This window comes from Homo sapiens, chromosome 2 (genome assembly GCF_000001405.40).
Source record: "Homo sapiens chromosome 2, GRCh38.p14 Primary Assembly".
Classification (NCBI taxonomy): domain Eukaryota; kingdom Metazoa; phylum Chordata; class Mammalia; order Primates; family Hominidae; genus Homo; species Homo sapiens.
This window is the reverse complement of record NC_000002.12, coordinates 30,409,058-30,424,798: the sequence shown is the minus strand read 5'-3', so window position 1 is coordinate 30,424,798 and position 15,741 is coordinate 30,409,058. Positions and strand designations below refer to the sequence as shown.

Below are 15,741 nucleotides of genomic sequence, written 5' to 3'. Positions count from 1 at the left end.
GAGTGTGAGGAGGGCTAGGCTTTGTATAGTATAGTCTGGGCAGTAAGAAGACTCGCTGTAATGGAGCCCAGGGTTCATGGTGGGGAACCCCATGTTTCCTCCTCCTAGCATTCTTCCAGAGCCTTCAAGGCATCACCGGCCCGTGTTCCAACGTCCCCTGCATACAGTTCTCTCAAGCTGCTTTTAACACTTGATTACCTTTAGCCCTTTATAACTGTGTTTCCCATTTTTAGACAGTAATCTCCTTGAAGCTGAGGACCATGACTTATTTGTCTTTGCCTGGCACAGAAAACATGATCCATAAATGTGTGTTGAATAAATGAATGAATAAACACTTCATTGGAGGGGAATTGAATGAATAGGCTGGTTCTAGAATGAAATATGCAGTTTGTGCCAGGCATTCTGACTCATTCTGCCTTCAGATGAACAGGGATGGCATTTTGGGCTTACATTAATTTATTCAATCATTTATGTACTCAAAAATTGTGTATTGAAAGCCTACTATGTTCTCGACACTAATATAGGAGCTGTTTTATCAACAGTGGTAAAACAGATAAACTCTTACTCAGGTGGAGCTGACATTCTTATAAGAAGGATAGATAGGCAGGGCACGTTGGCTTATGCCTATAATCCCAGCACTTTGGAAGGCCGATACAGGCGGATCACAAGGTCAGGAGATCGAGACCTCCCTGGCTAACACGGTGAAACCAAGTCTCTACTAAAAATACAAAAAAATTAGCTGGGCGTGGTGGTGGGAGCCTGTAGTCCCAGCTACTCGGGAGGCTGAGGCAGGAGAATGACATGAACCTGGGAGGCAGAGCTTGCAGTGAGCCCAGATCGCGCCACTGCACTCCAGCCTGGGCGACAGAGCAAGACTCTGTCTCAAAAAAAAAAAAAAAAAAAAAGGATAGATACTCAGGCCTGCTGGAGAATTAGTGAGGCTCCATGGAAAATGGAGATTTGGGGTCTTTTGTTCAAATAGCAGGAGAAGAGTGTTGTTAAAGGTACTAAAATATAAAGCTTTTTTGTTTGTTTTCTGCAGTTTCCCTCTCAACTTGTCATGGCATTTTAAAATTTGCTATATAAGATCCTTCTAAGAAAAATGATCATTTAAAAATTGTCACCATAAATTTTATCATTTATGTTTATGTTGTATAATGCCAGTTTTAAATATAGGCATAAGAGTGTTTAATGAAATTACAAAATTCATATTTTATAGCTCATACATGTGTATGGACTTAGTTTTTAGCAGAACAGTGAAAACTCTGCATAAAACTAATTCAATGATTTTTATTTCATTTCCTAATATATGACATCCTACCAACACCGCCTGCCTTTGGCATGCTGATGAGGGAAGAAGGTCTAAAAAGACTATGGGTTGCCCAATCTTTCCCTTTCCTTCTATGCCATTATTTTCGGTGTATGTGTATAATTGAGGCACTGACAGTCCCCCGAGGCAACATGAGAACTTGCTTCAAATGTAGAAAGAAAGTAATGGAGTTCTAAGGAACACAAATGACCACGGAATCCTATCATATCTTCTTTTTTTTTTTTTTTGAGACAGAGTCTTGCTCTGTCCCCCAGGCTGGAGTGCAGTGGTATGATCTTGGCTCACTGCAACCTCCACCTCCAAGGTTCAAGCAATTCTTGTGCCTCAGCCTCTGGAGTAGCTGGGACTACAGGCATGTGCCACCATGCCTGGCTACTTTTTTGTATTTTTAGTAGGGACAGAGTTTTGCCATGTTGCCCAGGCTGGTCTCGAACTCCTGAGCTCTGACAATCCACCCGCCTCGGCCTCCCAAAGTGTTAGGATTACAGGCATAAGCTACTGCCCCCGGCCCCTATTATATCTTTTCTTATTCATGTTACTTCCCTGCAGTATATTAGGATTGGCTTAGAATGTGCCTTTCTAGAACCACTGTATATTTAAAAAGAACCACAAAACCTTTGACCCTCTTTCCACTATGTCTTTTCCAGTATGTGTCTTCATAAAAGGGAGCTCTGAAAAGCTTAGACCCAGAATATATGCTCACCTGCATGGCTCAGTGATATAGGAATTAAAGGATTCTTGAGTAAAAAGAATGAGTGTATTTGTCACTGTGGCAAGGGTGTTGGGGCGATGCTAGAGGATATGCGACAATGTGTGTGGGTGGTGAGTGCATGTCATGCCTGGGCGAGGCTTAGAAGGGGTGTGGTATGTGTTCCTGTGTGTATGCCCTGTGTGTGTGTTGGGGGCGGGGGTGGTATTTGTGGCACATATTTTATGTGTCTGTGTGATTGGTAGATAGGGTTTGTGGTGTGTTTGTATATGTGTGCAATATGAAATGAATATTAGTTTTAGTTTTTTCAGCACACTTTTCCTCTGGGCTGTGTAGCCCACAACTTTTGTTTCCCCTGAAATGCCAGTCTGTTCTCATGTTCTTCTAAGTAAAATAACATGCAGCTTTTAGACATTCACAAACAAAACCCAGTGGTTTTTATCTGAGTCAAGCGCTCCCTGGGGCTTTGCTCTTTTTTTTTTTTTCTCCTCTCCTTCCTGTAAATCCATTTTATGCGTTGGAGCTAGAAGATGACATCTTGTTACATCATGTTAGACAGCACCATAATTTTTTCCAGCTAACCATTTCCAATCTGGCTAAGCAGACAGAACTGAACAATGACAACCAAGCAGAAATAAAGGATCGGCTCACAGCCCTGCAGGGTGGACTCGGAGGAGCCTTGTCCCCAGATCTGAAGTCGACTCGCCGTGTTTTAAGTTTTAACTCCTTAGATTGGGGAGGACGAAATCTGTTCAGGTTCACAGCTCTTCCAGTGATAATGCATAGTCTTTCTCTGCTGGAGCTGAGGATGCCTGTTGTGGGGAGGGGCCTCTGCAAGGGGAGGGAGCAATAGGGTGAGACTGATGGCTTGCCTGAGGTCCTTTCTATACTATGCACAGGTCAGGCCTGTCTTTTGCTTTCCAGCTGCAGCTGCTATTTATAGTCTTGTCTCTGTTTGCTATTCTGCCTGTGACCCCTGTAGTCAGCTCAAGGCCTGTGTTTAAAAAGAGCTCTTCTATGCTCATGTTCAAGCCCACCACGGAGGCTTTCCTTTAGCAGTCTGTGTGCCAAAACTCAGTGAAAGGTCTCTGCAGATCCCCTCCCCACCTCCTGGTATGCCGTGCATCAGATTGGGTGTCTGAGTTCCCTCAACGTTGCCATGCATCTCCACCTGCAGCCTGTGATGTGGTGAGAAATAGTTCTAGGTGGGAGTTGTGCTATATCTCTTACATCTTATTGTGGGTGTTCTGCCAGAATGCCCCTTCCAAACAAATCTCATTATGTCAGCCTTTGGCCTAAAAATATTCACTAACTTACTAGCTGTACTGCCTAGATAACTAAGACAAAAAACTTTAAGATCTATAAAGTCAGCGATGTGTATGAATACCAAACTCAGAGCCAGGTGATCCAAGTTTGAACCATAACTCCAAGCTGTGTGACTCTGAGCAAGTCAGTGACATTCTCTGAGCTTCCCCATCCTGCTTGCAAAGAGATTGCCTGCTTCGTGGGGGTGGGGATGCTGCAAGGACTAGGTTGAGAAAGTAACCTGGAAGCCTCCCTACTTGCACATTCTGCTATCTCAACTTCTCAGACTTCCCAAAAGAATGTGGCAACAAATGAAGGTGGGGAGGAATTGAGATGCTCTGGAGATAACAGAGAAAAAGATTTCTAGGTGTGACTCAATCAGCCAGTAATGGATTTTTTTAAATTGAAAAATACTCAAGATCGAAACTTAGAAGGTATGTGTATATATTGTAAATGTGATACAGGTCAGTAAAAATCAGTTGAACACATACTGCATGCCAGTCAATGTAATCAACAGCAGAGATATCAAGAAAAACACACAGAAATAATTAAAACAAAATGTTTTTGTGATTCTTACCACAAAAAAAGGGAAATTATATCGAAACAACCACAAAAAGGATCCAGAACTCACTCTCACTACATAAATTTAAAATGTGATAAATATGAGAGTAAGAAAAGATTATTTAATGAGAACTAGGAGTATCACTGGTCATAAATTTGGAAAATGTTTTGTTTAGATCAATTCTTTATATCATCTAGAAAATGGCAATTGGGCTAAGAATTATACATAAATAGACAAATTATACGACAAAACTACAAAAATTCAGCATAAAACAGCCAGATCAATAGAGAAATAGGTTCTCAATTTTGGAGCAATAGAATAAATCATGAAGATTGACAGGCCCAAATAAATATTTTAAGAGCTTTCAAGTAATGAAAACTGGTAACTCTAATATAAAATGGCAACAGAGTCTGCAGAAATATTTTTATCAATTATGGTAAAGAGTACTGATACTTTAAAAATTACTCATTAAAAAATATAAAATAAAACATTAAGATTTCAATGGGTGAATAAGAAAATGAATAAGTAATTTACAAACAAGAAATATAGATTGCCCACAAACCCCAGAAAAAATTTGTCTTTATAATTAAATAAATGTAGACTACAGCAACATTGAAACATCAATTTACATTGTTAAGTTAAGAGAAGTTAAAATGTGACGGCCAATGATGGTCTGGTTGTGGGTGACACTGGAGTCATACATTACTGATGCCAGTGTGAATTCTTACAAGCTGTTTGAAAATAAAATGACAATGCATATCAAAACCCATAAAAATATTCACACCCTTTGAGCTTAATGTTGCTCTCCAAAGAGTTTATACTAAGGAAGAAATCAAAAACAGAAAAGCTTCATGACTGACATTTAAATTTTGTTTAAATTTTGTTTAATAGTCAAAATTGATAATAAACTAAACGCTGAACAAAAGGGGCACAGCAAGGAAAAGTATGATGACTATGAACCTTAAGAACACTATGTAGGTATTAAAATAATGATAATAAAAAGGTTAAAATATAGAAATGTTTATGATAAAATAATTAAAATGAGGCTGGGCATGGTGGCCTGTGGATCACACCTGTAATCCCAGCACTTTTGGAGGCTGGGGCAGGAGCACTGCCTGAGGCCAGGAGCTTGAGACCAGCCTCAGCAACATAGTAGGACCTCATCTCTACAAAATTATTTTTTAAAAATTAGCTGGGCAAGGTGGTGTGAGCCTGTGGTCCCAGCTACTTGGGAGGCTGAGGCCAGAGGATCACTTGAACCAAGGATTTTGAGGCTGCAATGAGCTATGACTGTGTCACTGCATTTCAGCCTGAGCAGCTGAGGGAGACCCTGTCTCTAAAAAAAAAAGATAAAAGATAAAGTAAAAAAAAAGTAAAAAAAGATAAAGTAAAAAAGTATTATATTGCATTATATAATTATAATTATTATATATAATAATTATATAATTATAATTATTATATATAATTATTATATATAATAATTATAATTATGTAGAATGAGTGATACATTTTAACAGAACCAAAAGAAAATATGCAATAGTGTAAAAATAGTTGTATTACATTATGCGATTATGATTGTTTTTTAATTAAAAAGAAAGTTTCCTTAATTGTGCTATACTGACTTTTGATTTGGCAAAGAAAAAAAAATTTTTTAATTAACAAGTAAAAATTGTACATATTTATGATGTACAACATGACGCTTTAATATATGTATACATTGTGGAATGGCTAAATCAAGCTGTTTAACATGTGCATTACTTCACATACCTTTTTTTGTGGTGAAAACACTTAAAATCTACACTCTTGGCAACTTTCAAGGATACAGTATATTGTCATTAACTGTAGTCACCATGATATACAATAGATCTCTTGAATTTTTTCCTCCTAACTGAAATTTTGTGTCCTTTGGTCAACATCCCCCCATTGCCCCCACCCCACCCCCAGTATCTGATAATTACCATTTTACTCTCTATTTCTGTAAGTTTGACTTTTTTTATACTCCATGTAAAAGTGGGATCATGTGATATTTGTTGCCCTGTGCCTGGCTTATTTCACTTGACATAATGTCCTCCAGGTTCATCCATGTTGCCACAAGTGACAGGATTTTCTTCTTTTTCAAAGTGGTGTAGTATTTCATTGTGAATGTATAATGCATTTTCTTTATTCCTCTGTTGATGGATACTTAGATTGATTCCATATCTTGGCTACTGTGAATAGTGCTGCAGCAAATATGGGAGTGCAGAGAGCTCTTTGACATATTAAGTTTTTTTTCTTTTTTTTTTTTTTTTGAGGCGGAGTCTTGCTCTGTCGCCCCAGTTGGAGTGCAGTGGCACGATCTTGGCTCACTGCAACCTCTGCCTCCTGGGTTCAAGCAATTCTCCTGTCTCAGCCTCCCAAGTAGCTGGGATTACAGGCACCCACCACCACGCCGGGCTAAGTTTTGTATTTTTAGTAGAGACGAGGTTTCGCCATGTTGGCCAGGCTGGTCTCAAACTCCTGATCTCAGGTGATCCGCCCACCTCGGTCTCCCAAAGTGCTGGGATTACAGACATGAGCCACGGTGCCTGGCCTGACATACTAATTTCTTGCCTTTGAATAAATATCTAGTAGTGGGATTGCTGGATGGTATGGCAAGTCTATTTTTAATTTTTTAAGGAACCCCCATACGGTTTCTCATAATGGCTGTACTAATTTACATTCCTACTAACAGAGTACAGGGCTCCCTTTTCTCCATATTGTCGCCAACAGTTATCCATCACCTTTTGGGTGATAGCCATGCTAACAGTTGTAGGTGACATTTTGTTGCGGTTCTAATGTGCACTTCCCTGATGATTAGTGAGTGATGTTGAGCAAACTGTTTGCCATTTGTATGTCTTCCTCTTTTTTTATTAAAGTTTTTTTCTCTTAAATTTTATTTAATTACTTTTTAAAATTTTTCTTGTAAAGACAGGGTCTCACTATGTTGCCCAGCCTGGCCTCAAACTCCTGGCCTGAAGCAATCTTCCTGTCCTGCCTCAACTTCCCAATGTGCTGGGATTACAAGCATGAGTCACAGCACCTGGTCCTTGGCCTATTTTTTAATCAAGTTGTTTGGTTTTTTTTTTTTTTTTAGTATTGAGTTATTTGAGTTTCTTATACAATTTGGATAGGAAAAAAATATTAAAAAGAAGAGAAAAAAATCCTCCTCATATTGGCCTAAACTTAAATTCTGGGTATATTTTTATTTTAGTTCTTACTACTTCTATTTTGATCTGCTGTTTGTAGGCAAATCCTCCCATCCTCATCCCCAGCTCCACCACAGGGTAAATTCCAATGATCTGGCTGCCGCTGGCTTCCTGATAGAGCCCTTTATGTTACCACGACCCTGGCAGCAAACAAGAAAGGAAATGCTTTATTCTGATCACTTCAGGATTCCCAGCTTCCCTTTCTCCATGCTTTAGCAGCATAGCATCCCTCTTGGCCCCACAGGGCCTGCTTGAGAAAGGCGCATGCAGCCAGGCCTGGTCACATGCTCAGCTGTGTCACAATAGTGAGAGGAAAGATCAGGCTAGCTGTTTACCAGTACATAGTCTCAGCATAGGCAAGTGGCCTGGAGATGGTTGAAAAAGAATTCCTGAAGGAATTAAGGGTTGTCTCTTATTCCTCTTCCTTTCTATTTTCTAGTTTCTTTCTTAGGGCCAATCCTTGAGTCACTATTCTTTTCTGTAAGTTGACCCTATGTGCACCTACACATCTGTTCAGCAGTCTTTTAGTGCTCCACTCCGTTCCACTCCCACGGCTTACAAAGATGAACAAGATACAGTTCCTGGTTTCAAGGAGCCTTCTCTCCAGCAGGAAAATAGATATTAAACCAAAATTCTTCCCTATAGAAATGTGCTAAGTCCCAAGACTGAAATCTGGCATTACACTCTGGGAAACATCAAGAAGGTTCTGGCCCACCCTGGACATTCAGAGATGGCATGAGGTGGGGGGTTAGCAAGACAGAGATGGGCGAAGTGGGGTTGGAGAGGATGGGGTGCGATGAGATGGGATAAAGGATGCTTGAGACAGGGGAAAAAGTGTTAGCCAAGACCAGCCGGAAAGGAAACAAGCAGAGTGAGTTTAAGAAAAACTATCTTTCAGCTCCCTGGTGCTTTTAAAAACGAAAGCTGTTTTAGTGTCTGAGACCAGGATCCACTCCTTTCCGTCCATTTATTTATTTATTTATTTATTTATTTATTTATTTATTTATAGAGACAGTGGCTTGCTCTGTCATCCAGATAGAGTGAAGTGGTGCCATCATAGCTCACTGTAGCCTGGAACTCCTGAGCTTGAGGGATCCTTCCACCTCAGTCTTCTGAGTAGCTAGGATGATGGGTGCACACCACCATGCCTAACTATCCTTTCAGTCCTTTTAATTATCCAGCGCTGCTAGAGAAGCCTCTCTCTCTGACAGCACAGTCGGAGTAGAATGCAGCGGAGCGATCATAGCTCACTGTAACCTTGAACTCCTGGGCTCAAGCAATCCTCTTGCTTCAGCCTCCTGAGTAGCTGAAACTACAGGCAAATGCCTGTATTTTTATTTATTTATTATTTATTTATTTGTAGAGACTGGGTCTTGCTTTGTTGCCCAAGTTGGTCTCAAATTCCTGGCCTCAAGCCAAACTCCCACTTCTTCTCCTAAAGCACAGGGATTACAGGTCTGAGCCACCATGTCCAGCTCCAGGCAATTTCTATTTGTGAAAATGCTTGGATGTTGTTAACTTTTCCTGGATGAATTCTGAGGTGTGTATGAAGAACTCAGGTAAATGTAATTGCTATATTTTTAAAAAAACTTAGTATTATCAAGTTTTCTGTATCTGAGGAATGAACCAATGAGTTTATTTCAAGAGATACATACAAGAAGGTAACAGTTTAAAAATAATAAATAATTGATTTTTAACAAGAGTGCCATGATCATTCAATAGAAAAAGATGGGTCTTTTCACCAAATGGTGCTGAGACCACTGGATATCCACATACAACAGAATAAATGTGAACCCCTCATCTCACTTTGTATACGATAATTAATTCACAATAAATCGAAGAGTCAAACAGCAGAGCTAAAACTATAAAACTGTTAGAAGGAAACAGAGCTATACATCTTCATGACCTTGTATTAGGCAATGGTTTCTTAGATATGGCACTAGAGCACGTGCAAAAACAAAAAAATAAATAAATAAAAATAAAACCAAGAAAGTAGAGAAATTGGACTTTATCAAAATTAAAGACTTTTGTGAATCAAAGGCCACTACCAAAAAGGAGAAGAGGCAACCCACAGAATTGGAGAAAATACTTGTAAGTCTGATAAGAGTCTAGTATGTTGAATATATAAATAACTTCTACAACTCAACAACAGTAAGACATACAACACAATTTAGATATGGGCAAATGACTTGAATAGGCATTTCTCTAAGAAGATATACAAATGGCCAATATATGAATGGCCAATAAACACATGAAAATATTCTTAACATCATTAGTCATTAGTGAAAAATGCAATAAAAAATCAAAATAAGATACTACTTTACACCCATTACAATAACTATAATAAAAATAAAAAATAAACAGAAAGTCACAAGAATTGGTGATGATGTGAAGAAATTAGAACCCTCATATACTGCTAGTGGAATGTAAAATGGCACAGCTGCTATGGAAAATAGTTTGGCAGTTCCTCAAAAAGCTAAACATAGAATTACCAATAACCCAACACTTCCACTCCTAAGTGTATACACAGGAGAATTGAAAACATATGTCTGCACATAAACCTGTACATGAGTGTTCACAGCAGCATGATTCGTAACAGCCAACAAGTGGAAACAATCTAAAAGTTCATCAACTGATGAAGGTATATGCAAAATGCAGTCTAGCCATACAACGGGATATTATTTGATCATAAAAAGAAATGAAGTACTGATACATGCTGCAACGTAAATGATACTTAAAAACATTATGCTAAGTGAAGAAGCCAGATGCAAAAGGCCACATATTGTGTAATTACACTTATATGAAATGTCCAGAATAGGCAAATCTGTAGAGACAGAAAGCAGGTTAGTGATTCCCTAGGTGTGAGGGCTGGGGAGAAAGGGATGAGGAGCTAATGAGGGGAAGGGGGATGAAGAACTTTCATTTTGATGTGATGAAAATCTTCTGGAATTAGATATTAATGATGGCTGCACAACTTTGTGAATATACTAAAAACCACGGAACTGTACACTTCAAAATAGTCGAATGTTATGTGAATATTATCTCAAAAAATTTTTTTAAAAAGGAATGCGGAGAGACCTTTAAACTTCACTGCACTGAACTGAAGCTAGCATTTGGGACTCTACTGTGACCCTAAGTGAGATGTTACAATCTGAGACGCACTTTTAACGCTAAGGTTTCAGCTGGGAATGGTGGGAAAACACCAGTAAGACATTGGCTGTGTCCTCAAGGTGCTCATTCCCCGTTGGAAGACACAGGCCCATTGCGCTAACTAGAACACAAGCGAGAAGACAGTAAATGCCACCGTGGAGAGAGGTGGTTCTGTTTGAAAGCAAGGGCAGGAGTGGTTTATTCTGACTGAAGGAAGACGGGAAGGTCTTACAGAAGAGGAGACATTGGAATTGGGCTTCTAAGGATGACTAGGAGTTTGACAGGTGGAGAAGGTGGGGGAAGAGCCATCTAGGCAGTGGGGTCAACTTGAGCAGAAGTCTGGAGGTATATGAGACATTCAAAGATATTCACATTAACTGGATGGTATGATTCAAGCTATGATTTCTCTCTTCTTCTAGCTAGCACTCAGTCATTGCTTTTTATTAAACATCATAACCATTATCCACACTGATCCTTGGCTCTTGTCTCACAGAACATGAGCCTTCAATGTAAAAGTAGAGAAACAGAAATGTTGTTGAGCCTTGGTAGGGCTTGGCAAGGTCTCTTATGTTCTCTTGCTGTGTCCATATCCTTTTTTTTGTGTGTGAGATGGTGTCTCACTCTGTTGCCCAAGCTGGAGTGCAATGGTGTGATATCGGCTGACTGCAACCTCCGCCTCCTGGGTTCAAGCGATTCTCCTGCCTCAGCCACCCGAGTAGCACCCACCACCTTGCCCGGCTAATTTTTGTATTTTTAGTAGACATGGGGTTTTGCCATGTTGGCCAGGCTGGTCTCGAACTCCTGACCTCAGGTGATCTGCCCCCTTTGGCCTCCAAAGTGCTAGGATTACAGGCATGAGCCACTGTGCCCGGACTCCACATCCTTCTTAGGGTTGTCTGCACACTGGGACATTTTCAGCCTGTGGCTCTGCTCCTGTATGCTGTCTCTCCATTCTGAGAAGCCCTTTTTGCTGCAGTGACTGGCTCCATCCACCTGCCAGACAGACAAGCTTTCGTTCCCTCTTGAAAAGGCTTTTGCTTGATGGAGGAGGAAACCAGGGAGGAGGGAAAGAGACGCATCTTATTCTCCTGAGAAGAGTCATCCTGTTTGTCTCCATTGGCGGCTGGCTTTATTTGGCTTCTATTTGGATGGTGAACCCATTGCCTTGAGGGGCTTGGGGAGACAAGTGCTTCTGTAGGAGGAGTTCTGTGCCTAATGAATTGTTCAGTGAGGAATGCTAAGCAGAAAGCATTCTGGAAGGAAAGACATATTTTCAGTATTGAGGCCTGAGGCCCCTAATACCTCCCAGATGAAAAACTAAGGGAGTGATCCTCCCAAGTGTGCGTGACTGACATTTGCTCCCCAATGCACTAAGCATAAGCTTGTTTTATTGTGTTTACAATTTTGTATCTTCAGACCGTAAATGATTTATTGCAAACATGAATGTCCTAGACAGTAGAGATGTCCAGGCTTTTCTCTAAAGCCAGAGCTAATCCTGCACCAGAGATCCAGTTTGATGAACTCTTCAGTGTTCCCAAACCTCATGTGCTTATGAGAGATCAGGACAGGGAGATATCTGGTCTTAAGCAGCTCTACCCGGGGTAGAATACTGTCCTACCCAGGAGAGGATCTTGGCAAATGAAGCCTGTGTGCCTGCCTGAGATTGAGCCTCCTGCCCTGTGACCCCTGAGTATAGAGCAGAGGACCAGGCAGTGTTGCAAATATGCTCCTCACAAATCCAGATAGGAGATATGGATTTAACACTATCTTCTCCTTGAACCACTTGATAATTTTTTTTTCAATCGCAAGAAAACTTAATTCCTGTTCCACTGTCTCTAGCTCTCTGAGGGATAAATGCTCTGACAATGTAGACAAGGACCAGATGTGCAGTGGATGGGTCAGTCTGTACTGGGAGGGAGGAGGAGGGAGAAGGGAGGAGGGAGAAGCAGGCCTGAATGTCATTACTTGCAAGGGTCAGGGGGGTCAGTGACAGTGGCAAGAAACAGATTTTTCCAGCTGCTTTCAGGCTGAGATTTGTACTGCATAATCTGAATGCTTTTATCTGTTTCTGAAAATAGACAGGAATTTTTTCCACAGGCTGCTCCAATCTGGCTGTGGAGACGTGAGGGAGGATTGCAGGGAGACAGTTGTATGTAGTCCAGTAAGTACGTTTTGTGACCCCCCACCACCCCCCCCAACCAAAATGAGCCTTTCTCCATATTGGCTCTGTGGAGCGACATTATCTTAAAGCCTCTCAAAATCAGGAGTCAAAAGTGCTGGACATACTTTCCATTCTGAATTTTGTGTAGCTTCTGATATCTTGAGCTATCGTTTATTTTTGCTTAAATAGTCAGGATAAAAGGCCTTTGCGAGTTCCTAAGTATCTGTCCAGATACTGGTTTCTTGAGTCTGCGCAGAAGGGCGTATGTGGGAAACATAAACAACACAAAATAAAACGGTTTGATCAGAAATTATAGTTTATAGTGATTACCAATTCCACAAATCATATTCTCCTCCTTTATCCTGAATTTAGACTACAAAGAAGCATCACAAATTATTGACAAAGATATTCTGGAAGGTTAACTCTGGATTAAATCAGACTTCATCTCTCTCAGCAGCTGGTGCCTCTCATCTAAGATCAAAAGGATCTTGAACCTTCCAAGTGAACTGCTGTCAAGCAAACAGCAGGAGAACCTCTAATATTATTTACATAGCATTTTCTTTTTCCAATTATGTATTGGTTTCTTCTTGGTACAAGTCTAGCTTATAAATGTGGAAACCAAGACACAGGAAAAGAAAACAATGTTAAAGTTCAGGTAGAGAGTCAGAGAGGGAACTGAGAATAAGACAAGCTCCTTTTAACCCACAGATAAATGTGTCTAGATATCACCTCTACTTATTGCAACAATCCTTTTCTTTTTTTTTTTTCTTTTGAGATGGAGTCTCGCTCTGTCGCCCCGGCTGGAGTGCAGTGGCGCAATCTCGGCTCACTGCAAGCTCCGCCTCCCGAGTTCACGCCATTCTCCTGCCTCAGCCTCCCGAGCAGTTGGGACTACAGGCCCCCACCACTATGCCCGGCTAATTTTTTGTATTTTTTTAGTAGAGACGGGGTTTCACCACATTAGCCAGGATGGTCTCGATCTCCTGACCTCGTGATCCGCCCGCCTCGGCCTCCCAAAGTGCTGGGATTACAGGCGTGAGCCACCGCACCTGGCAACAATCCTTTTCAGTTGCTATTCACCCATCTACCAAAAATATGAAGTCATTTTTGCTGAGGGTGCAGTAAAGCATGCCAACTTCATTTTCCAACCTGGAGTTTCTTGGGCCTATAGGAAACGGATTAGAGTCTTTGAGGCTGGTACATTTGGGGACCTTGTTTGCAACGTTCCTCTAAAGTAGACCTTATAATGAATGGAAGCAAGAGAAGAGTGCCAGATTATTCTGGAATGCTGTCAATATCCTGTGTCTCTGAGACTCTACTGTTGCCCTTATGTCCAAAGCCCCATGATTAACTCAGGTACCAGTGAGGAGGAAAAAGCAGAAATGTGAACTCTCATAGTCACCTACTGCAGGCCAAGGTCTCTGTCTAGGAACTGCTATGTGTGAGTCAATTTCCTGATGATGCAGTTTTTTTCTGCTCCATACCATGCTGAGTGGAATGTCTTGTTTATCAGCCCTCCAGGACCCCCACACCTGGTACTGTGGCATCATGACGATTGTCATAGTCTATGGGAAGGTGACTTCAATCTGCTGTGTGTATAATACTGTGTGACTCCCAGTTGTCAGCCACTCAGTCATTAAGCAGAAGAAAGAATGGGAAGGCACAGAGATCAGAGGGAGAAGGACAAAGAGATACAAGGAGAGTGACAGGAAAGAAGAAAAAATGACTGAGAAACTCCTAATGCAAAGTGGGTAATGGGTTTTGAAAATAACAGGGTGAGCCAAAGAGAAAGGGACAAATGATTTAGCAGAGAGACTGGAACATATACTGGTACCTCCACCTACTGTACCCCAAGCCTTGTGTTGAACCTGGACAAACAGTCTGGCCCTTCCAGGGACTCCCAAGCACAACGAAACACAGAGCTTCAAAGGAAAGAAGAGCAGGAAGTTGGTGGGTTTCAGGTGCTTGGAAAAGAAGTAGGCTGACATCTGACTCATCCTATTCAACTGCAAGCACCCAACACACACAGAAGCTTTCAGATGAGATCATCTGGTCGTGACTTGCAAAAGACTCTGATTTGGTGGCATATGGGGCTAGGCACTTTATCAACATTTTTCTTCCAGCACAGCAAAAGGTGGGTAGAATTGCAGCTCTTTTATAATAATAAATAATGTTATGGAAAGGAAAAATGAAGTATAGAGAAGGGACAGACCTTAAAAAGGATGCTCAATAATAAGAAAAACAAACACACACACACACACACACACACACACACACACAGACAAACAGACATTGTTCTCCTTGATCCATTGAGAGGTAATATGGTAGGACAGAAAACACATGGGCTTAAACATCAGAAAGACGTAGGCCTAAGCCTGCTTTTGCCACTTACTGACCTTTAGCAGTTGGTTTAACCTCTTTGATCCTCAGTTCTTTCATCTGTACAATGGGAAAATAATACCTACTATTCAGGGTTGTTGTGACGGCTGATGATGAGATGTGCATTTGGTTAGGAGATCAGTAACTGTCAGCCAGGATTATTCTACTATCTGTTAGCTTCAAGCAGCAGTGTGAGGACTAACTTCTCCAGGCAGCTCCTCCATCTCCCCAGTTATTGTTGTTTTATGGTACTTTGGAAAGGAGTTTCAAGTTCATTTGGTTCAAGTCGTTCCTTTTGTGGTCCAGAAAGGTGGGTGGCTGATTCGACATCACAGTTGGGATGTAGATTAGTGGCAAAGCTGGGTTGGTGCACCTGGCTTCCCAGACAATACTGCTTCCTCCTTACCTGTCTGCTTCTGCTAAAATGATGACTGGACCATCTTTGTAATAAGTCTTCAGAAGAAAAAATATTGGTAAAAATAAATGAACCAGATGCCTCCCCTTTCATTACTTTGCGATCCCTTTACTCACCTGGGTTGTTGTGCAAAGCGGATAAGCTCTCCACCTTGTGGGTGCTAACACAGGGATCAGGGAGATTTCTTATCAATGTGCTGGCAGCCCCATCAAAACTTCACATGAGCTTTTTTTGCTTTCCTGGTGGAGGCAGTAGCAGTGACTTGCTGCTATGGGATGCTCTGTCCACTAGCCTTGGCTTATGGGAATCCATCCAATGACTGTGCAGGAAGTCATCTATCTAATCCCCTTTGCCAGTAAGAATGTTTAAAACTGGCCAGAACCTCAGGGACAGTTCAGCTATTAATGGAAAGTAAATCAAATCTGAGGCCCTTAAAGACCCATGTAGTATAAACTGCATTTCCATAGACCTTGAAGCACATCTAGAAAGCCTTGTGGAAAGAAAGA

The 15,741-nt window shown here is 41.1% G+C and overlaps 1 annotated feature.

Annotated features, from left to right (window-relative positions):
* Positions 13,703–14,615: an enhancer, noted in NCBI's record as "H3K27ac-H3K4me1 hESC enhancer chr2:30633050-30633962 (GRCh37/hg19 assembly coordinates)". NCBI's record gives its function as "activates a minimal SCP1, AML or CMV promoter by ChIP-STARR-seq in naive H9 embryonic stem cells {active_cell/tissue: H9 hESC(naive)}" and the evidence as "EXISTENCE:reporter gene assay evidence [ECO:0000049][PMID:30033119]".